The 23,500-nt window shown below is 43.0% G+C and overlaps 1 protein-coding gene across 7 annotated transcripts in view, besides 3 other annotated features; it reads left to right on the top strand.

The window, feature by feature from the left end:
- The first annotated feature begins 21,899 nt into the window (after positions 1–21,899).
- Positions 21,900–23,500, top strand: part of XKR6 (XK related 6) — a 305,789-nt gene continuing 304,188 nt past the window's right edge. For all 7 annotated transcript variants that reach the window (NR_138153.2, NR_138154.2, XR_948899.4 and 4 more), the window contains exon 1: positions 21,900–23,157. Coding sequence is in view for 3 of the 7 variants with exons in the window: in NM_173683.4 (NP_775954.2) it covers positions 22,394–23,157 (764 nt within the window). In the remaining 4 variants the exon portion in view is untranslated. The remainder of the gene's footprint in view (positions 23,158–23,500) is intronic.
- Positions 22,137–22,306: a silencer, noted in NCBI's record as "silent region_18925". NCBI's record gives its function as "represses an Ori minimal core promoter by ATAC-STARR-seq in GM12878 lymphoblastoid cells {active_cell/tissue: GM12878}" and the evidence as "EXISTENCE:reporter gene assay evidence [ECO:0000049][PMID:35858748]".
- Positions 22,387–22,746: a silencer, noted in NCBI's record as "silent region_18924". NCBI's record gives its function as "represses an Ori minimal core promoter by ATAC-STARR-seq in GM12878 lymphoblastoid cells {active_cell/tissue: GM12878}" and the evidence as "EXISTENCE:reporter gene assay evidence [ECO:0000049][PMID:35858748]".
- Positions 22,947–23,416: a silencer, noted in NCBI's record as "silent region_18923". NCBI's record gives its function as "represses an Ori minimal core promoter by ATAC-STARR-seq in GM12878 lymphoblastoid cells {active_cell/tissue: GM12878}" and the evidence as "EXISTENCE:reporter gene assay evidence [ECO:0000049][PMID:35858748]".

Raw genomic sequence — 23,500 nt, 5'->3', positions numbered from 1 at the left:
CAGGTGCGTGCCACAGCACCCAGCCAATTTTTTTTGGGGGATGGAGTCTCTCTCTGTTGCCCAGGCTGGAGTGCAATGGCGCGATCTCGGCTCACTGCAAGCTCCGCCTCCTGGGTTCGCACCATTCTCCTAACTCAGCCTCCCAAGTAGTTGGGACTGCAGGCGCCCGCCACCACGCCCGAGCTAATGTTTTGTGTATTTTTAGTAGAGACGGGGTTTCACCGTGTTAGCCAGGATGGACTCGATCTCCTGACCTCGTGATCCGCCCGCCTTGGCCTCCCAAAGTGCTGGGATTACAGGCGCGAGCCTCGGCGCCCGGCCACTTTTTGTAATTTTTTCTAGAGATGAGGTTTTTGTTTTGCCATGTTGCTCAGGGTGGTCTCAAACTCCTAGGCTCAAGTGAACCACCCGCCTCAGCTTCTGAAAGTGTGGGGATTACAGGCATGAGCCATTGTGCCTGACCCATAAACCATTTTTTGGAAGAGAGCTATGACACAGCTATGTTTTATAACAATTCTGGTGGGGGAGTGATCTGGTTAGGCTTTGTGTTCCCATGTATGGAGAGAGGGGAGTGATAGGATTGTGAGGGTGGTTTCCCATGTTATTCTCACGATAGTGAGTGAATTCTCACGAGATCTGCCGGTTTTATAAATGGTAGTTTTTCCTGCTCTCTCACACGCTGTTTTTCACCTGCCACCACGTAATACGTGCCTGCTTCGCCTTCCACCATGGTTCTAAGTTTCCTGAGGACTCCCCGGCCATGTGGAACAGTGAGCCAATTAAACCTCTTTCCTTTATGAATTACCTAGTCTCAGGTAGTATCTTTATAGTGGTTTGAGAATGGACTAATACAGAGAGGATGCGTAAAAAGAGATGCAAAAATTTCCAACATTTGGCTAAATTTATTCGGGCTATGGGGCCCCCTTTTGCCTGCAGTGGTGATAAGGCAATGGCCAGTGAATCTTAGAAAAACGGTATGTTTGAAAGCCACAAAAATGATTGTCTTACTTCTCCATGAGATTTTTGTTTGTTTAAATAAAATGAAAGCTGATACAGTACACTTCCCTTCCAAATTCCAAAGTCTGGAGTTGCCTCACCTCTAGCTAATTGAAGGTTATGAAAATAAGTGATTTCAAAAACACCTGTCCTTCCAATTCAGGACGTAAAATCCATCCCATCCTCAATTTTTGTAAGAGTTTCAGGCAGTGTAATCATATTTTAAGTATCGATCCAGGCACTTGGAAAAGCAGTTCTAGTAAATGAGGTAGGTCTTTGCCTTTGGACTAATGTAAGCACGGAGGGCGGCTATTTTCTTCCTCTTCCTGGCCCTGTTCCTGCCTTCCTTAAGAAATCTTTGTATTAAATTGAAGTTTCTTTTCATTGTTTATAGTTTTTAATTGAAAACCTTTAGTTCTCTTTTCATATTAAAATACGGGTGAATTAAAGTTTATATTTAACCCTTTTACACCTGTAATCCCAGCACTTTGACAGGAAGATCGCTAGATACCTGGGCAACATAGCAAGACCCTGTCTCTACAAAATTTTAAAATTAGCTGGGTGTGATGGCATGCACCTGTGGTCCCAGCTACTCAGGAGGCTGAGGCAGGAGGATTGAGTGAGCCCACGAGATTGAGGTTACAGCAGCCATTTCTGTGCCACTGCACTCCAGCCTGGGCAACAGAGTGAGACCTTGTCTCAAAAAACAAACAAACAAAACAACAACAACAACAACAACAACAAAACACCCTTTTAAAAACCATTAAATTAAGTTGATTTTTACATGTATGTTCTTGGATTTTACCCTTCTCTTCTCCTTCTATGAATACAAGATACTCATAGATATCTCTTAGTACAAAGTACACAAACACAGACACCGTTTCCAGATGGTCGTACAAGTTTAATGGTGGGTAGGAGCACTGTAGACCTGAGTTTACAGACGCTTCATTTTATTTTTAGACTCCTCAGATGGATTTCCTTCCTCAATGTAATCCAGCATTCATTAAATGCCCAGTAGACCAGGCCTGGGGGTGAGGGGCAGAGAGATGAATAAGCTAGGCTTTGCACACTCCTGATCTTCCTACTAAATTTAAGATATAAGTATGGGAACGAGATTATTTTTTCTATTTTAGTGTAATGAAACTGGGGCCCAAAAAGGTTCAGGGCATCGATTGAAGCTTATAGGAGTGGATCCAACAAGACCCTTCTGCCTTGGACCCCATCCAATCGTTCTGTTACATGATGTGTTTCAAGAATGCCTGAGTCAATGGGGAGGTGGCAGTAATTCATCATTTACTTTACTCTTACAGAAAAATTGGCATTTCCGTTATGTACTGTTTTTCTGAGCTTTTTAAGCATGGACTAAAAAAAATGATAGAACCTACCTGGTAAAGTGCTTATTAAGTGTAGGGTATCAAATATTATACCTTTAACTGTTTCCCATTAGAAAAGACCAAAATGTTTTAATAAAACATTTTAATAAATGTTTTTTAAATGTTCAATATTTTACTTAACATCCTTTTAGACTCATTACAGACCATTAAAAAGTATTAATTGACCAGGGACTATTAAATTCCATATGATTTGTACTTATGTTTTTAAAATTGTGTGAGCACTGACAACAGTGCTGACGATTTTACATTTTCACATAACTACCCTAAAACTTTGAAGTTTCTTAACTATTAAACAATAAAACACTAAAATCCTATAATAAATTCTGGCAAAACCCAAACCACTGTTTTATACCTTAAAAAATCCTAAAGGAATCCTATAATTATTATATTTTTTTTTTTTTTGAGATGGAGTCTCGCTCTGTCACCCAGGCTGGAGTGCAGTGGCGCAATCTCGGCTCACTGCAACCTCTGCCTCCTGGGTTCAAGTGATTCTCCTGCCTCAACCTCCTGAGTAGCTGGGGCTACAGGCACCCGCCACCATACCTGGCTAATTATTTTTGCATTTTTAGTAGAGACAGGGTTTCGCCATGTTGGCCAGGCTGGTCTTGAGCTCCTGATTTCAGGTGATCCACCCGCCTTGGCCTGCCAAAGTGCTGGGATTACAGGCATGAGCCACCGTGCCTGGCCAGAATCCTCTAATTCTTTATGTCTCAACTCACTCTTGAACTTCGTTAAGAAAAAAAGGCAACCATAAGTTTCTGAGCTGTTAGACACATAAATTGTGGTATTGTCCCTTTTTACTTATTTCTTTGTTTTCTTCATGCATGCAATAAATCTTCCTTTTTCTGTTAGATAGTAGAAGTGACTCCTAAAACTTGCTTAAATTAATCTAAGTAAAGTGTAATTCATTAGCTTCATATTTTGTGTTTTCAAAGTTGAAATTTTAGCCACAGCAGTATCAAGGATTCCACTCTATTTCCTACCCCAACCTTGACAGGTTCTCTTATAATTATACTTCAACTGCTGGAAATACTGGAAATAGCATGAACTTTATATTAAGGTGGGCCTGAATTAAAGTCCCAGCTTCACCACTTTTTGGCTGGGTGACTTGGGCAAATTACTTCTCTGGGTCTGTTTCCTCATGGGCAAAATGAGAATACTTTATCTTCAGGAGAGTGGTAAAAATTAAGTAATAATGAGTGTTGAACTCCTAGCCCAGTGCATGGTGCAAGTAAGTTCACTGAGGTGAGTTTTCTTGTCTTTTTCTGGTAAGCAAAGAAATAAACAGACAAACAAAAATCTTACCTAGCACCTGTTTCTTCTAAGTCACAAATCACATTCATAGACTTTTCATCCCAAATCAGACATCTTCAAATGTGCACTCTACAAGAGCTGGCTCTTATCTCTATTCTCTAGAAAACGAGGAGCTTTGTTAACTCTCCTCTCCTTTGGGAAATGCTAGCTTTCACTTCAGAAAGCAGAATCTTAGGAGTTTGAAATAAACATTTTAAAAGCCAGTTTGGTTGCAATTTTAAGTACATTAAGAGTATATTTTATTAATTTTTTTTTTTTTGAGAGACTGAGTCTCACTCTGTCACCCAGGCTGGAGTGCAGTGGTCGATCTCAGCTCACTGCAACCTCTGCCTCCCAGGTTCAAGCAATTCTCATGCCTCAGCCTCCCAAGTAGCTGGGAATACAGGCATGTGGCACCATGCCCAGCTAAGTTTTGTATTTTTGGTAGAGACAGGATTTCACCATGTTGGCCAGGCTGGTCTCATACTCCTGATCTCAAGTGACTCACCCACCTTGGCCTCCCAAAGTGCTGGGATTACAGGTGTGAGCCACTGTACTCAGCCAAAAAATTTTTTTTAAATAATAGTGAATATTGAAGATGGATGTTCTTATCAGTGGAGACCCATCAATGGGTATAAATGGTAAATCTGTTTGTTCTGGAGTTTTATGAAATTTCCTGCCCAGAATGCTCCTTCTCTTGGGGGCTGAACCTTCCTGGAGCCTTCCCTGAAATGTTCTGACCAAACTCATCCCCCACTACCCCAACCATAATTAACTGGCCCAAGAGAGGGCACCTGGAAGCGGAGCCAATGAATTCTTTCTCTACAGTTTTTGACCTATGGGCAAAAGAGGTCAATTAGCATCTGGTGTTACAAACTACAACATGTGAAATTTGAGAACAATATGGACACACTTCCTACCACATGGATAAATCTGGTGAAACAAGTAGAGATGAAAGATGGGTAGGGGGCCAGGCATGGTGGCTCACAGGTGTAATCCCAGCACTTTGGGAGGCTGAGGTGGCCGGATCCCCTGAGGTCAGGAGTTTGAGGCCAGCCTGGCCAACATGGTGAAACCCCATCTTTACTAAAAATACAAAAATTAGCTGGGCGTGGTGGCAGGCGCCTGTAATCCCAGCTACTGGGGAAGCTGAGGCAGGAGAATTGCTTGAACGCAGGAGGCGGAGGTTACGGTGAGCTGAGATCATGCCACTGCACTCCAGCCTGGGCGACCGAGTGAGACTCTGTCTCATAAGAAGGAAAAAAGGATGGAGAGTGAATCTTGGGAGTCTCAGTGCCAGTCGCCACATCCTCCCGCTCTCAAGTGAACTTGTAATTCTTCAGTAGCTGCCAGCCTGGAGGATTTGCTTTGAGACAGGGTCTCACTCTGTCACCCAGGCTGGAGTGCAGTGGTGCGATCATGGCTGGCTTCAACCTCAGCCTCCTGGGCTCAAGCAATCCTCTTGCCTCAGCCCCCTGAATAGCTGGGACTATAGGACTATAGGTATGTACCACCATGCCTGGCTAATTTTTGTATTTTTTGTAGATTCAGGGTTTTGCCACGTTGCCCAGGCTGGTCTCAAGTTCCTGGGCTCAAGCGATCCACGCACCTTGGCCTCCCAAAGTGTTGTGATTACAGGCGTGAGCCACCACACCCAGCCAAGGGTTTGCTTTTCTTTCTTCCTGAGATAAAGCATTTTGAGTGTGAAAGTGGGAGACAGGGGAAAAGAGGGAAAGTAAGTTCTCTCTTCTTTAGGAAAATCTTCCAGAGAGGGAGGTGGTTTTAAATCAGTCAATCTACCCATAACAGAATCTAGCATCACCACGAGTTACTGGAAAGTTTGCAGATTACAGCCTGCCCTAACTGATTTACTGGGTAGTCTTCCTTATATATTATTCATGGCTCCTCCTCTTTGGCTCATTGGCTCATGCCATTGATAGTGTACTCATTTGGGGCAAGGATCAGAAGACTAAAAGTGTGTGTTTCAGGACATGTGTAGCACAATATTTAAAAATTAAGTAAATTACAGCTAATACTTCTTGTGTGCCTACTATGTTCTATGCACCCTTGCAAAGCTTTCTACATTTCAGCTCATTTCTCTTTTACAACCATCTATGTCAAGGTCATTGTTGTCATCCTTATTTTATAGTTGAAGAAACTGTTGCACAGAGGGGCTAAGTAGCTTGTCCAGGGTCACCTAGGTGATGTGGGGTAGAATCAGAATTCAAATCCAGGCAGCCTGGCTCCAGAATCCTGGCTCTTACTGCCCATGGGATATGGTATATGTGGTTTTCCTTTAATGACCAGATACAGGATTTGGTGCTTCATGACAGTACTTCCTGAGCCCTGTGGGATTGCTGGATTCCTCCTGGGGAGAGAAGGTGGTTTTAGACCTGCTGCCATTATCTGCCTATGGTGGTTCAAAAGCTCAGGGATTTGTCCAGCCACTGATAACTGAAGTTTGTTGGAATAACGTAAGCTGCGGCCCTAAGAGCATTATTCCAATTATTCTGTATGAAATTCTGTAGAATTCTATAAGAATTTCCTTATACACAGTAAACATCTAATACCTAAGCAATGAATTAAAAATGGAGCAACAACTAGTTATAAAGACTATCTCAATGTATAATAGGGATTGGACATTGGCCATTTCTGGGTGGTAAGAATACTGATGATTTTTACTTTGTTTTTCAAGTTTTTGTTGGTTTGTTTGTTTGTTTGAGATGGAGCCTCGCTCTGTCGCCCAGGCTGGAGTGATGTGGTGTGATCTCCACTCACTGCAACCTCTGCCTCCCGGGTTCAAAGAAATTCTCCTGCCTCAGCCTCCTGAGTAGCTGGGATTACAGGCAACCACCACCACGCCCAGCTAATTTTTGTATTTTTAGTACAGATGAGGTTTCACCACGTTGGCCAGGCTGGTCTTGAATTCCTGACTTCAGGTGATCCACCTGCCTCAGCCTCCCAAAGTGCTGGGATTACAGGCGTTAGCCACCGCACCCAGCCTGTATTTCAAGTTTTTAGCCAATTACGTGTATCCTTATTTTCAAATCAGAAAAAAAGTATTTTTTAAAAGAAGACATTTAGATGCAATAATTATCTTGTGTCAGTTTTTGTTTCATTTTTGTGTTTTATACTCCAAAATAAATGTTTTACTTTGCATGTTGCATGTCCTAAGTGTAAAGTTTTATGTAAAGTCAGTAAATACCTGTTGCCATATTTGTCAATATATTCCATTTTCATAAGACCCTGTCATTCTTGATTTTTAAAAAATCATAAAATTTAAAAATATAATAATAGATGAAACTCTTAGAATAATGGAATTACATATACGCATTAATCATATGTAACTAGTAGTTTAAGACCCTAATTTTTCTTACATTTTTTGTTTCTTTCAATTCAAGCAAATGCTTCATCACCCCAGGGAAGCTTTCTGCAGGCAGGAAGCGGGAAGAATCTATCAGCTTTCCAGGCCTTCATTTAGAAATGGCTTCATTAAGAACTATAGGGTATGAAGAGCAAGGGCCTTTCCAAAACAAAGAAGACCTTCCCATATGGATGACAGAAGTGAAGACTAGGGGTGTTAGAATAGCAGAGGCCTCTGTCACTCCCCTAGGGGTGCAGGGAGACGTGGTGCTATCTTGCATGGGGTATGGTGTAATTGGAATGTGGGGCCCTGGGCACTAGAGGGTCCTGGTCTTATAAATGAGTCCTGATAGCCCAACACTGCCTAAAAACAGCAGAGAGCAGTAGGCGCGCAGGACCTGGCACTCGGTGGTCAGAGATGAGGCTCTTATCTCTGTGTGGATGACTGGCTTATGGCCAGAAGGAGAAGCCCCGTACCAGCCTGTTATAGACTGAGATGTTACCTCTTAAAACCTATGTGTTGAATACGACTGTGTTTGGAGATCAAGTCTTTAAACAGACTTTTAAATTAAAAGGAGATCATATGAGTGGTCCTTCGTCCAATACAATTGGTATCCGTATAAGCAGAGGAGATTTGGACACAGAAGCACATAGAGGGATGATCAGATCAGGACACAGGGAGAATATGACATCTACAAGCCAAGGATAGAGACCTTAGGGGAAACCAACCCCACTGACACCCTGACCTTGGACTTCCAGCCTCTGGAACAGTGAGAAAATAAGTTTCTGTTACCTAAGTCACCCAATCTGTGCTAATCTGTAGTGGCAGCCTTAGCAGACTAATGCATAGGCACTGGTCCTATGTGAGACCCCAGAACTCTCACATCCTTAGGTGGGCAACCCCAGGAAGACCGAGGCAGAGAGCTTGCCACTCTCGTAGCATTAGGGCCGGAATAGCAACTCAATTGTTTAATTAAAAATAAAACAATGCCTTATTTCTTCCACATCTAAATTTGCACCCTATAATTCAAACTTATTACCCATGTTCTTTTGTTTCATGTTGATTTGGCTGTACTATATTTTGAGGAATCTGTTTTTATTTATACTATTTGTTTTTTTTAATGTATCTCTCTTAGAACTCATTATTTTTTTACCCATTGTAAGGTTGTTCAAAATTGTCTAATACATTTCTTACTTTTCTAGGAAGATTGGCTATACTCATTTTTGTCTTAAGTGTTCAAAACTGCATACACATGCTCATATGCATGCACACACGCACACACAAACACACATTTTCTTTTATAGGAAGTCTTCAGAGGGAAGTTTCACTATAGAGGAGAGACTTAGGAGAAAGAACTGGAAGCCAGATCTCCCAGTTTTCAGCTGATTCAGCTGATAGGAGGCAGAACAAACCAACAATAAACAGGAAAAGCATTGAAAAGGACTTTGAGACTTCTGTGATTTTTATCAGCAGATGGCAAGTGTAATTTAATCTAAACAAACTAATAATTAATTGGGGAACAAGAAGGTTGGTGGGCAGAAAATAATCCTCCAGCACACAGATCAAGAAAAGGATTTAGGGATTATTCTTGAAAAATCATTAAAACTATCAGTCTAGAGCATAGTTCTGGGAACAAAGGCAAACAGCATTAGCAGAGAGAAAGCATAGAAAACTGGGGGTGGTACCAGTTATTTTGAAAAGAACTTGTTTGATCTAGTCAGGAATATCATCATGGTAGCAATTGTTATGTAAGAAAGTCATATAAGAATGACAAAACCCAAGAATCAAATGCATCCACTTACACAGGGGACTGCAAACTCCAATGCCTTCAAGGACCAAGCACGTAGGTGAATGTGTGAAGTCACCACGGGAATGGTGACTTTTAGGAATGGTGGGAACTGAGTTAGAATGGAGGGCGCTTAAAGGTTTTCAGGTTTTTGCACACACACCCACACATGCACCCACCCACCCATCCACCCACACATTGTATTTGCCAAACAAAACCTGTCTGCCTGCTCGGTTCAGCTCTTGGCTGCCAGTGTAGATCTGGGACTAAGAGTTTTGTTTGGTGCCTCTCTTCTGCCTCCTCCCTACTTGGAGGGTCCCTGGAGGGCAAAGCTGTGTCTTAACCTTATATCCTGGCTGCACTGCATCTCCCTTGTTACTTTGCCCAATGAACACTGGTTGCAAGTGCTGAAATGAAGAAGGCACTCCTGCTACATGTAGCAGAAAATGGCTACTGACAATCGCTGTACCTGTTATTCAGTGGCCATGACCTCTGAAGTTGCACATCAAAAAGAGCCCATGTGTGGGCCAAAAATGCCAATTCTGTGCTTGATTCAGCCTCCCTAAACCTACTTTGCATGTGATGTGTAAATTATTTTTCTCTATATTCCATATAATGCTGCACTTTTTTTTTCTCTTCAGTCTATTCCTCCCACCAAGCTTGACCTTTCTTCATCCCGATCTTTCCCTTCCTGTCTTTAGCATTATAAAAGGGAATTTCTCTGTTGGTTTTTCGTTTTCTGCCCTCTCGACTTGGTTCCTTTTGCTCTTTATCCTTTCTTTTTTCTCACTTTTGTGTTGCAACCTCAATGAATGGTATTGTCAGGGAGCATGATCTTCTGGTTAGTAGAGTTTGTGTTGTTTAACTGACATTCTACTCTTTCAAACAGTGCAAACTTTTTCTGGTGGGTAATGTTTCTGGAATAGATAGGTAGTGAAGAAGTACTTTAGGTTGATCTTTATTTATCTGTTTAAATTCTGTACTATGAGATCTATATAAAAGAATCTACATGACATATATGTAATAAATATGTAAATGATATATATATATAAAAATTATAAAGCATAATAAAATGAATACCTCTGAACCCACCTTCCATCTTAGGAAGTAGAACATTGAAAATGCTGTTAAAATCTTGTATTCTACTCAGTGTTTCTTTGATGCCTGCCAATCCTGCCTTAGGATCACCATTATAAGCATCAATTATGACTGTACAATATGATGGATGCATAATGTAATGCTTTAGTCAAAATATAAAATAAGCCTCTGAGTTGCTTCTTGCATCTGTCATCTCTTCTCCTTCCCAGATGTCGCTGCTGTGGCATGGGCCTTGAGGAGCTCATCTATACCATGACAAGAGCACCCTCATTTGTCTCTCGGTCTCCTTTTTCACCCAAGGTTGAACCAGGAGCTGGATACAGAGGCAGGCCTCTAGGAGGGTATGAGTAGGGGGGGATTCAGTCCATACAGACAAGAAAATATGTGTATCAATTAGAAATATGCTGTTAGTTCAGTTTTCATATAACTCCAAATAACTAGCAAAATATGAATTGATTCTATTTACCTGCCGCACTAGTTTCCAATTGTTCTGTGACAAATTACTACAAATTAAGCATCTTAAAACAATGCACATTTATTATCTCATAGTTTGTGTTGGGCAGGATTTCAACGCAAAGCTTGGCTGCATCCTCTGCTCAGCCTCTCATATGGCTGCAGTAAAGGCATTGGCTGGGATTGCACTCTCATCTGGAGGCTCAACTGGGGAGGAATCCACTTCCAAGCTTATTCAGGTTGTTGGCAGAATTGATTTCCTTGTGGTTATATCAATGAGGGTCTCACTTTTTTTGCTGGCTAGTGGCTGGAGGCTGATCCTGAGTTCTTGGGGTCACCTGCAGTTTTTCTTGCCACATGGGCTTCTCCATCATGGCTGCTTGCTTCATTGCTGCACGGAGAGTCTCTGGCTTCTGTCTGCTAAGGTGAAGTCTTATGTGATGTAACATAATCAAGGAGAGTGACATCCCATCACCTTTGTCATATTCTGTGGGTCAGAGGACCTGCCTACACTCAAGGGGAGGGGATGACACAGTGGCATAAACACCAGAAGGGGAATCACTGGGGGTCATCTTAGCAGTCTATCTACTACATATACCTAAGTGGATAGTGCTTTGGAGCAGGAAAAAAATCCTCATCAGGCAGATAATTTTGTTGGGGTTTCTTCCCAAAGATTGTGTGATTATAATTAACTGAAAGTTGGCGTTCTACTGAAATTTTAAAACCAAATGATGCATTATGTGGTGCTGAGTATTTGGAAGGAGAGATTTATTTTATTATTTAAATTTTAAACCCTAAATATACTCCCCAAAGTGCTTTAGTTAAAAAAAATTATAAAGTAGATCTGATGAGAGAAAAAGTATATAGTAGAGGGAACTATTTTTCCAATTTTAGAAAGGACAATTGATTCTGTTTGGGCTAGGAAAAATTAATCTGGTCCTGAATATGATTTTTTCAAGAGAAAATTCATTTCTCCCTGTTTACATTAAATAAGTGTTGAACCACAAAAATCCTGGTTTACAGGGATACAAGTTAATTAGTCAGCCCAGCGTACTTGTCAACTTTTGCCCTAACTTTCACACTGTCATTAAAGCTATCTGTCTTAAACACAAACTTGGTTTTGTCACCTTTCTGATAAAAGCCTCTGAGAATTTCCCATTGCCCATAGGATCAACTTTGTCTTTTTTTTTTTGAGACAGAGTTGTGCTCTGGCACCCAGGCTGTAGTGCAGTTGGGCAATCATAGCTCACTGCAGCTTCAAACTCCTGGCCAAAAGCAATCCTTCCACCTTGGCCTCCCAAAGCTCTGGGATTACAGGCAGGAGCTACTGTACCTGGTCTTAAATCTTAAGCCTGATATTTATGAATCTTCAAAAATTGGCTCCCTTCTACACTTACCATCTTCCTCTCCTTTCATTCCCCTTGCTCCATCCAATGCTGTGAGCAAACCACACAGTTTCATAAACCTCATTGTTCCTCTTTCTTGTCCCTGCCTCTGCACAGGTTATGCCCTCTACTTGGTGTGTATCTACTCACTCTTTCGGAGTTCCAGAGACTTTGCTTCTAGGCCCCAAGGAGAGATGTATCTATTTCTCTTACCAATAGATTCCTTGGGGATAGTGCCTGACACACAGTAAGTACTCAAGTATTGCCTGAATACGTAAATCTCAGATTTGTCTTATTTAAAATGAGGGATTAGATGAAATGATGGTTCCTTATAGCTCTAAATTTTAAAAAATCATCACATGGATTAAGAGAATGTAAGACTGCGTATAAATAAACTGTGTGGAACAGATTCTAAATGCTACAGGGTTTCAGAGGAAGAAGGTATTATTCTGTGCTGGAATAGTCAAGAACATTTTTTGCTAAAGGAGGTGGAATTTGAAATAGGTATTGAAAGATGAGAGGGAGTTTGAGCCCTTGCTAACATGATGCCTTCTTTATAGTAGGCCCTCATTAAGTTTACTGATTTGAATTGAAATGTAGACAAACGAGGAGGAGGAAAGACTTTGCAAATGAATTAAAGTAAGACCAGGAGCTCCAGTGCAGGAATGAGCACTGGTAAATGTGGACTAGGAGGACATTTTCCTGAGCAAAGTGTGTTCTGGCCAATAGTGAAAACTAATAGTGGCTCTGTAGGTTGAAGTGAGATTATGGAAGATCTGAAAATGAAGGAGTGCAGTTTGGATTGGTATGGTAGGCAATAGTGAGCCATGACATCTCCTCTAAATAGGATGATGTTATAGTATTTTAGGTTTATTAGTCTGATGCTGGTAAGCAGGCTAGATGGGCAAAGAAGAGGATAGTCGGGGAGATTCGGTAGGAGGCCTTAACTTGGATAAAAATAGTTCCTAAAATTTTTACACCTCTCTGATTTAGAAGATACCCACTAAGCCTACAAGAGAGGTTACCACAAGCCTTGTAGGAAGGTAGAGAAGATATTAATATTTTAGGAGATATTAATATTCTTATTTTACATGAGAACTGTGATTCAATCTGAATTAGCCCAAGGTGATATAGCTGGTAAATGGTACATGGTAAACGGTGTCACTGGAACTCATACCTACTTTTTTTCTTAACTTCTGTGGATGATTACTTTTATGTGTCAACCTGACTGGACTAAAGGATGCCCAGATGGCTGGTAAAACATTATTTCTGGATATATTTGTGGGGGTGTCTCTGCACGAGATTAACATTTGAATCTGTAGAGTGAGTAGAGGATCACCCTCATCAATACATGTGGGCATCACCCAAACTGCTGAGGGTCTGAATAGAACAAAAGGGCAGAGGAAGGGCAAATGTGCTTCTGTTTCAGCTGGGACATCCATCTTCTCCCGCTGCTGTGGTTCTCAAGCCCTCAGACTCGGACTGGGAGACTGGGATTTACACCACTGCCCGCCTTCCCTCAGTTCTCAAGAAAGAACAGATTAAACCACTGGCTTTCCTGCAGTGATAGGTGTCTCTCTCTCTCTCTCAAGAAAGAACTGATTAAACCACTGGCTTTCCTGCAGTGATAGGTCTCTCTCTCTCTCTCTCTCTCTCTCTCTCTCTCTCATTCTGTTTCTCGGAAGAGCCCTAACTAATACAACTTCTAAGCCCAGTATTCCTGCCATTAAGAAAAAGACATTTCAAACATTAAAACTGAGGAAGCTATGCAACTTTATAAGATATGTGTATCAGCATAATGTAGTGGAAAGAGCCCTGGCCCAGATATCAGGAATTTAAATCCTAGTCCCCAGGCTAAGGCAACCAGTGTGGCCTTCAATAGAAACATTCTTCTGTGGTCAGCTTCCTTTTCCTCATCTGTCACAGGGCAGTTGTGCTCAAGTTCATTCTGGCTCACTCGTCTTGGAATTTATGTGTCATCGGCTAGAAGTTTCAATGACCCAGTGAAGCTGGCATCATGGCAGCACAAACAAAAAACAACGAAAAACTGGAGGAGATGGTTCATTTTTGGGCCAAGGGTGATGAGTTCAGGTTTGCACATTAGGAAAAAGCTAAAGGGTGTGGTAGACAGAATCATGGCCCCTTAAAGATGACCACAACCTCATCCCCCAAATCTGGGACTATGTCGCCTTATGTGGCAAAAGAAACTTTGTAGATGTGGTTGATTTAAGGATTTTGAGATGGGGAGATTATCCTAAATTATATTATGGGTGGGTCCTCATAAGAAAAAATAGAAAGGCAAGTCAGAGTTAGAAAAGGAGATGCAGAGGCAGAAGCAGAGGTTGGGTGAAGCAATTCCCCTCTTTGAAGATGGAAGTGGAGCAGAAGCTAAGGAATGCAGACTATAAAACCGAGAAAAGGCAGGAAAATGGATTTCTCTCCTAGAGCCTCCAGAAGGAACACAGCTCTGCTGGCACCTTGGTTTTATTTTATTTAGTTTTTGAGACATCTCACTCTGTCACGCAGGCTGGACTGTAGTAGTGTGATCATAGCTCACTGCAGCCTTGAACTCCTGGGCTCAAGAGATCCTCCCACCTCAGCCTCCATAGTAGCAGGGACTACAGTTTTTGTAGAGATGGGGTCTTGATGTATTTGCCAGGGTTGGTCTCTAACTCCTGGGCTCAAGAGATCCTCCTGCCTCAGCCTCCCAAAGTGTTAGAATATGGGCGTGAGCCACTGTGCCCAGCCAACACCTTGATTTTAGCTCCGTAAGACCCCTCTTGGAGTTCTGGTCCTCCAAGACTGTCAGATGAACTTGTAATGTTCTGAGCCACCAAGCTTGTGGTACTTTGTTACAGCAGTCATAGAAAGCAAATAGCGGAAGTGACTAGGGAGGGAGGACGAGTATTTTTTGAGCCCTTTGTGTGCATCAGGCATTGAAGTCACAATAAACTGGTAGGGGTAACGGTGTGCTCATCATTTCATATATTAGGAAAATAAACCTAAGAGCAGAAGTAACTTGCCCAAAGTGACATAGTCAGGAATTGAGACTGGGGGCTGTGTGCGTGCTTATGCATCATGCATATGCTGTGCTGAAAGGCAAAAGCCCACAAGAAGCCTACGCAGCGACATCATCACACAATGCTGGAAAACCAGGAAAAAATGTGTATGTGTACAAATCAATGGACCAGGGAGTTGGCAATGGGGAAGACCTTCAAGTGAATGGCCAGGACCAACTGTGTATCAGTAGCAGGTGCTTTTTCCACGTGCTATTTCATGAAACACTCACAAAACACCCTGCAAGGTAAATTTTATTCTGCTTCTTTTTATGGTTAACAAAGGGAGGCTTCAATTAAGAAAGCACCTTGCCCCAAATACTATAGCTAGTTAATGCCGGAGCTAAGATTTAAATATAGAGCCTGCCTCCTGTGATTAAGAAAAACAAAACATTTTTATTTTAAAAAAGGAAGACCCAGAGAAGGGCATAATTTAACCATCACTTGGCAGTATATGACCCCACCACACAGAAAGGATCAAAGTTAGCTTTGTGGCATGAATGTTTATATAATTATTTGTTCTCCAGGTGTTTAGCTCAGTCCTGGACATATTATAGGCACCCAATGGATACTTGTGTAGTGAAATCTGACAGTGGGACAGAGGCGCTTCTGTGTAAGGTTAACTAAAAAGGCTGAAACCCTTAAAGTCTAGATGATGAAGGCTGAGATCTGATGGGGCTCAAGTATAACAAAGTCCATTCTCTCTTTGAAGCATTTCAGCAGGATGAATGAATCACCAGTCTCCTCCCTTTCTCCCCTTCCTGACTGCCCAAAGCACATACCCATAACACCGTGCCCTTGGGCCCTTAGCACTTTACTTCACCCTGCTGTCTTGACTGTAGGGGCTCCCACTGCCTCCAGCATCAAGCATAACTTTCTAGGGTGCCCTAGCCTTCTCCCTACCTGCATCTTCCCTCTCTAGCCTCATCCCTTGTCCATGCAAATCTTTGTCTCCGGTCAGCCTGATGCCCTGATGGGAGCCCGTGGAATCCTTATCTCACACCCATCCCTCCCCTTGCCTACATCTCTGTCCAGAGCTCCAGCATTTTGGTGAACTCGCCCCGCACCCCGTAATGCCTTCTTTAACTCTTCCTGCTCCTCTCCCTAATTATTTTGTTACTATTGCCAGTGCCACTCCATTTGCACTTAGAATAAAATAAAAATTCCTTAGCACAATTGGAATGCCTCTTTCTTCCATCTCAGTCTCCCTTGGATCCCCTCTCCTTTTTGCCTATGATGTCACATACTGGCCTCCCTCAGGTCGAGGAGCTCACAGCTCAGGCCCTGACATGGGTATTTTTCTGCATTTGGACCCTGCCATCACCAAAAATAGTCCCTCCTATTTCAATTACAGCTTAAATGTCACCTTAGAGTTGGCTTCCTGATTCCTCATGTTTCAGTAGATCCCATTTTGTTTAAACCTCTTGGTTTTTAAAAAACCTTTTATAAATGCTTTCTTGTTTTCATCTTTATAATTATTCATTTGTATGTTTAGTTGATCACTATCTGCCACTTCCGCTAGAGTCAGCTCCATGTACAATGTGTTTTGTTTTCAGCACCTAGCATGATGCCTGACATGTAGTAGGTGCTTACATACTTGTTCACAAATGAATCTCTTATGTTAAACTCTCTAATCACTAATTGTTCTGTAAATCTGAGCGTCACTTCATGACTTATCTATAATGCTATTTTGTTGACTCATATTGGTGGGCGTCTATTTCATGTCTTCAATAGGACTGTACATTGCAGAAATGATCTCTTATATTTCTTTGTACCAAAAGAAGTTAGATGCAAAGAATCAATGAAGTTAGACTTAATTTGGTGTCTGTCACATTCTGAATTACTATAACCAGGATACGTGTCTAAACTTGAAGGAGACATCACAGTGGGGTTTCATGTTACTTAGGGTCCTGGTAGTATTGGTTGGGATCTAAGGTCTGCACTGAGCCTAAGAACTGTGTATACCCCAAATTTTCTTTGCACTGGAGACATCATATCACTTGGCCAAAAGGCCAACTGAGCCAGCATCAGATACAATCTTGTATCTTTGGTTGAGGACCAGAGAAAAGACTTGGCTTGAATTGGGAGGGCATGTGGGAAGACAAACACAAGGCTTTAAGTCCTAGAATCCCACTTTGTCTGGGAAGGCAATCATATTAGGAACTAAGGAACAGAGGTCTACAGTGTTCTATTTCCCATCTCACACTCAATCTGGGGACATGTGCTCTATGCTCATTCTCGGAAGTGGCCTGTATGATTTGATTTGCTATTGCTTGATCTTCATTTTCTTTTTTTTTTTTTTTTTTTGAGACAAGGTTTCACTCTGTTGTCCAGGCTGGAGTGCAGTGGTGCAATCACAGCTCACTGAAGCCTCGACCTCCTGGGCTCAAGTGATCCTCCCACCTCAGCCCCCCAAGTAGCTGGGACTATGAGTGCATACCACCATGCCAGGCTAATTTTAATATTTGTTTTTTCAAAGACAGAGTCTTGCTATGTTGCCCAGGCTAGTTTCCAACTCCTGGTTTCAAGAGATCCTTCCGCCTTGGCCTCCCAAAGTGTTCGGATTACAGGCGTGAGCCACTGCACCTGGCGATCCTTATTTTCTTTTGGTTGGGCATGATTAGTTGACTCCACACACGGTAAGTGTACGTATGATAAAGTTACACTGTACTCTGCTCTTTGGGGAGTAAATACATGAAGCTTTTTATCCTTACTTAGACAATACAGTGGATAAAAATATAAAGAAGCTCAAGAAGGGTTTAAATCAATTCACAGATGTCGGAGTTATAACTAGTTTTTAAGAGACAAAAAACTTCACAAAATACTCCTCAGTGATGTTGCTGTTAGAGAATACAGATGTACCTACCCCCGCCGATTCTTACCGATCTCTGTGACACTACATATGGGTGCATATTCCCTGCGACCTCCCCAAACTTCCCCCCAAACATTTATTATCTTTCTCCCATCCTTGTTCCTACTCACAGCATTTCTCTCCACCATTACCACCACCCTACAGGTAATCACTTTGTTTCTTAGGTCTCTTTCCAGAGTTGCTTTATGCAAATACAAACAAATAAGAAAAGATAACCTTATCTCTTCCCCTTTCTTACAGAAAATGCAGCATGTTCTATTGTTTTGCACTTTGAGTTTTGTGTAACAAAGCATCCTGCAACTCTTTGTATATCATTAAAAAGAAAACTATCATTTTTCAACATCACTGCACCATATTCTGTTGTGTGGATGTACCATAATTTATTTAACTAGTTCCCCTTTGGGTGGACATGTGGGTTTTTTCCTTCCATTCTTTCTCTCAATTGTAAGCAATGCTACATGAATAAACTTGTACACACATACTTTCTGACATCTATGTATTTATCTGTAAGATAAAGTCCCATAAAAGGGATGGCTGTCTCAAAGGGTACCTGCATTTGAAATTTTGGTAAGTAGTGCCAAATTCCCTTTCATAAAGATTTTACCATTTTGTACCACCAGCAACAAAGTATGAGAGTGCTTGCTAACACTTCAATTCTTAACATCGAATACAGAAATGTAGCTTCCAGGGATAATGGGTTCTATGAGCTTACTCCTCAGCACTCAAAGAAGTCCTGTTTCTATAGAAGTCAATAAGATACAAGGCACAGAATTGATGAGGATGACATCCACCTACTCTTTTGAAGCTTTATGTAGGCTCAAACTAGGAAAATCTTACGAAAAATGTATAAGACAGCCTCTTTGTAATGCTTTTGCTGAGGCCTATCCCCATATTGGAATTGAGGTGTTCTGTTTCCTAGCTGCATACCAGCATTGTAATAGGGTCCCTACTCTGACTAACACAGTAACACTAATTTCATTTGGAAGTGCCAGTAGCTGCCTGGCCCAGGACAATGGCAGGGTAAGTAGCAGGCTTTGGAATTACACCTGCCTGGATTCTAATCTATGGCTCCCCTTACCCATGTGACTCTGGGTAACTCATTTGGCAGACTCGAGTCTGTTTTCTAGACCATTAAAATGGGAATACTAATCCTCATGCGTTTTTGGACTGCCATATAATTAAAAGGAGTCACGTATGGGAGACTGTTTAGTACATAATAGCATTCAACACTAACTTTCCTTTGTGCCTTTCTGAAAATAGAGAATTGGGAAGAAAAACCCCAAAGGGCTTCTAAACATTTAAAATTTATGTCACAATTTCTGTATGTTAAAGCTTTTTAACTTTACTCATAGAAGAGGCTCTAAAAATCTATTTAGTATTATTTTACATGTAACTCCAACATGCTTTGTTATTTGGCTTCTCTGTCTATATTAAAGTGTAAATACAGGGGCCAAAGTTGTTAATTAACTGAATAAACAAAGAAAGCAGAGATTAAAAAATACTGTTAGAAAAAACCACCACTGCTACCACCACCACCACCAACCTCAACAACAGTTGGTGCTTAGCAGGCCGGCACAGGCACATAAATAGTTAGAGCCTCTTAGCATAAGGCCACTTCAAGGTCAAGTTGTCAAGAAAAGGTCAACTTTCTGCCTGATGTGCAGAGCACAAGCCAATGGGCAATGCATTTCTTTCACTTTCCCCCCACTTTAAAGTTTTGAGGTATCTCCGTAATGATTGAATTTTATGGAGGTTTACATCATAAAACGTAAAATACATTTTTTTTGGCACTTAAAGGTGAAATTTCAGTTATCTGGAAAATTAATTTGCACTAATTTAATCAATACTTATAGAGTGCCCACTATGTGTTCAGCATTGTGCTAAGTGCTGGCTTACTTGGAACAAAAATCACCCCCAAAATTCTAGGTAAAAGTGTGCCATCCAAAGCACAGTCCAGATTTATGTTAACTTTTCAGTGAGTCTTCATGAGAGGTTTATTATCATTGTAACTGATTTTAGAGCCTTCTGGGTTCCATAATGTATCCTTCTTCCAAAGAAAGTAGAAGGACAAAATTGTTGAAACAGCAAATGTAAAGTTGAAGTCACTTGACAGTCTGAGAATCTTACATATCTACTTGAAACTTCAATTGTAATAAACACTTTTGACTCATAAGCTCATTTGTCAGCCTTATATAGCGAGTGTAATTTACTTAGCTAATTTCACTAGTTTATGTTCTTTCAGGGCACACAGAAATAGGAATCATAAATACACCATTACTGCCCGCTTTTGTATCTCATTTCACAGCCTCGTAGCTTAAATAGAGAAAATATATTTGAAAGCACAAATTAATTGCACCTATTTTCTAGAAGTATTTCAAAATGCTTTCTTTTATTAGAGATACCAAATACACTCAGCGATAGAATTTAAGTAGAAACATGTCAGTATTATGCAAACATAATAATAACAACAGTAATAATAATAGCAGTTACTCTCTAGTGCTTAGCTGCCTATCAGGTATCATATTGAGATCCTTGAAAGGATTACCACCTTTACTCTGCCCAGCAACTTTTCAGAAAAGTCACTGTTGTTATTTCTATTATATCAAGGTGAAAACTGAGATTTGAAGAGGTAATCTTGCTCACATTATTCATGTTACTATTTTAGTGAAATTGGGGTTCATACCTGGGCAATCCTACTCTATATTTATGCCATGTAAGGTGTTATTCATTCAAATTCAGCAAAGAAACAGAATCCCATCTATATGCAGAAATAATCTTTACCTGCTGGCCTTAAGTTTTACTACCATAGGGAGTATGAGGCTTACATATGAGTATGAGTTTTACATACCATAGGGAGTATGAGGCTTAAATCATAGCATGAAATACATGGATACAGTTATATGGCTGGTTTCTAAAAGTTGATTTTGGAATCACTCCCCTCTTCCCAATGTATGGGAGTAAAAATTCACTATTAGTAATTTTTCTAAAGTCTTCAGAGATTTCACACTGGCATATATACTCATGAAAAGCTGTGTCCTAAAATGTAGTATCCCCATCTACCCTGCCACTCCCAAAACTCATAGGTGCCATAGTATTCAATAGTATCAAAGTAACTATTGAAGTTGTCAAACGCACCTTTCTGCCATAGAACCTCCAGCCATATAAATATTACCTAATTTGTACTCTTAACATTCTAAAGACAGTTATTGGCATTATTAGAAGACTTTAGTGAATGGAGAAGTAGACAGAATCACAAAAATGAGTTCAAAAATCTAGGGAAGTCAATGAGAAAATTCAGGGATTTTTTTCCCCCTCATTCTTTTTTTTAACTGTAAAATGTTCATTTCATCTGATCAGGAACAACTGTAACCATGTAGCTTGCCCTATTTTGGCTATCTGGCTTCAAAAATACTTTCACTGGAAGATCATTGTAATTCAAATCCATTCAGTGCTGTTTCACTTTTGTAATTTGTTAGCTAAGTTTAAGTAGTGTATCCTGCACCTACTTTAATGATATAGCACATTGATAACATTTTTTTCCTTATTTAAAGCAATGTTTACCCACAGCGCCTTAGCACCAAAAAAATTCTAAAAGGCACTCCTTACACATTTAAATAACCTGAACAAATAATTGATACAGGTTAAGCCCTGGCTAGTTCTGCATTTTCCAAATTAAGATCACAGAATTTAAAAATTGCATATTAAAAAAAAAGTTGGTAGAATATATTTCCATAGGGCAGAAAATATATTCAAGGTCACAATATGCCCATTCATTCCTTGCTCCAACATGTAAGACCCAACCAGGCTGATTTCCAATTGAATTTTGCCTGAAGCTTTTTTAAGGTAATGATGGAAACTTTATTACAAAAGGTGGTTAAGTTGTCAGTGACAGGAAAATCAGGAGGTCAACAGAGGTAAGAGGAGAGGTGTCTAAATGGAAGTGAGAATCAGTAACTTGATTGTGAAAATCTGACTTATGTAATTTTTAAAGACCCTCAAAATAAGAGAAGAATAAGAGAAATTTAAAAGAAAATAGAAACAGCCAAAGAGGTGAGACATAGACATTTTGATTGGGGGGGGGTGTTGTCTAACTACACAATGAGGTCATCCCATCTCCCGGAAGTGACACGTAATCACCTGCTTTGCACTAGCTCCGCCCCTTCCCTCAGAGGTCCCGCCCCTCCACCAGCAGCCGGGAGGGTGTTAGGGGGCGTTTCTCCAGGAGGAAAGCTGTGAGCTGCGACGCTGAGGAAGGGGACCCCAAAACGTCTGGCACTGCCCCCTCCAGGGATCACTTTGGACCGCCTCACTCGGGCCAGCCGGATTCTGAAACGCCGAGGGGTCAACCTGATGGGTTTCGGGGTCAACGGAAGAGGGGAAGGGGAGCCCTGGCGGGGAGAACCCCCCGGTCCCCCGCCCAGCAGCTGAGGCACAGGAGGGCGGCCATCTTGGCCGGGAGGGTAGGGCTGGGGAGCTGCGGGCGCCGTGCGATTGGGGGGCTCGCCCGGAAGTGACGCCAACTACCCGGAAGCGGAGGGGGTTCCCTGGCCCACTCCCCCCTCGTTCGTTTGCTCCCCCGCTTCCTCCCCGCCCCCCTTCCTCTCCATTCGTTTCCCCCCCTCCCCGTTCCCTGCCTTCTTCCCCCCCCCCCCGCCGTCCCTCCCCCCCAACCTCCGGAGCTGGGAAGAGAGTCAAGATGGCGGCGAAATCCGATGGCGGTGGCGTGGGGGTGGGCTTCGCTCAGCTGCACAACCTGGACGAGGCGGTGGGCAGCGGCGGCGAGGAGGACGGGGAGCCCGGGGGAGGCGGCTGCGGCGGCGGCGGCGACGGCAGCGAGCCCGGCGAGAGCAGCTCGATGCACATCTGCCACTGCTGCAACACCTCCTCGTGCTACTGGGGCTGCCGCTCCGCCTGCCTGCGCTCCCTCCTGGGCAGGAAGCCGCGCCGCAGCGCCGCCGCCGACGGGGGGGACCAGCCGCTGCAGCCTCCCGCGGCCCCCGGCGCCGGCCGCCAACCCCCGACGCCCTCGGCCGCGCGGCCGGAGCCGCCGCCGCCGCAGGTGGAGCGGCCGTGGCTCGACTGCCTGTGGATCGTGCTGGCGCTGCTGGTGTTCTTCGGGGACGTGGGCACCGACCTGTGGCTGGCCCTCGACTACTACCGCAAGGGGGACTACGTCTACTTCGGGCTGACCCTCTTCTTCGTGCTGGTGCCGTCGCTGCTGGTGCAGAGCCTGAGCTTCCGCTGGTTCGTGCAGGACTACACGGGCGGCGGGCTGGGCGCCGTGGAGGGGCTCACCAGCCGGGGCCCCCCCATGATGGGGGCCGGCTACGTCCACGGCGCGGCCCGCGGTGGCCCAGGCGTGAGGGTCTCCCCCACGCCGGGGGCGCAGCGCCTGTGTCGCCTCTCCGTGTGGATCTGGCAGTCGGTCATCCACCTGCTGCAGATGGGGCAGGTGTGGAGGTAAGAGCACTGCGGGGTGGGGGCGGGCCGGCCCTGAGGAGCCCCCCTCCGCCCTCCCGGTGCTTCGCGGGGCGGCCCCTCGAAAGGGCCCAGCGCGGGGGGCTCGAAGGAGGGACCGGCCGCGCGCCGCCCCTGGCGTCTCCAAAAGACCGGCGTTTGATCTGGATCCCTGGCCACGCCTTTGGCCCGGGGAGGCCGAGACCTGCCGTTGGCCCGTCCTCGTCCCCGCTTCGCACTCGGCGGGGCTCTTGCCCCAACCTGCCCTCCCCGTCCCCTCTGCAGAGCTCCGTTCCCAAGCGTCCCTTTTCCCTGCCTCCCGAGGTAACCAGCTGCGGGCGCCCTG

Source organism: Homo sapiens, chromosome 8 (genome assembly GCF_000001405.40).
Source record: "Homo sapiens chromosome 8, GRCh38.p14 Primary Assembly".
Classification (NCBI taxonomy): Eukaryota; Metazoa; Chordata; class Mammalia; order Primates; family Hominidae; genus Homo; species Homo sapiens.
This window is presented reverse-complemented; position numbering and strand designations above follow the sequence as displayed.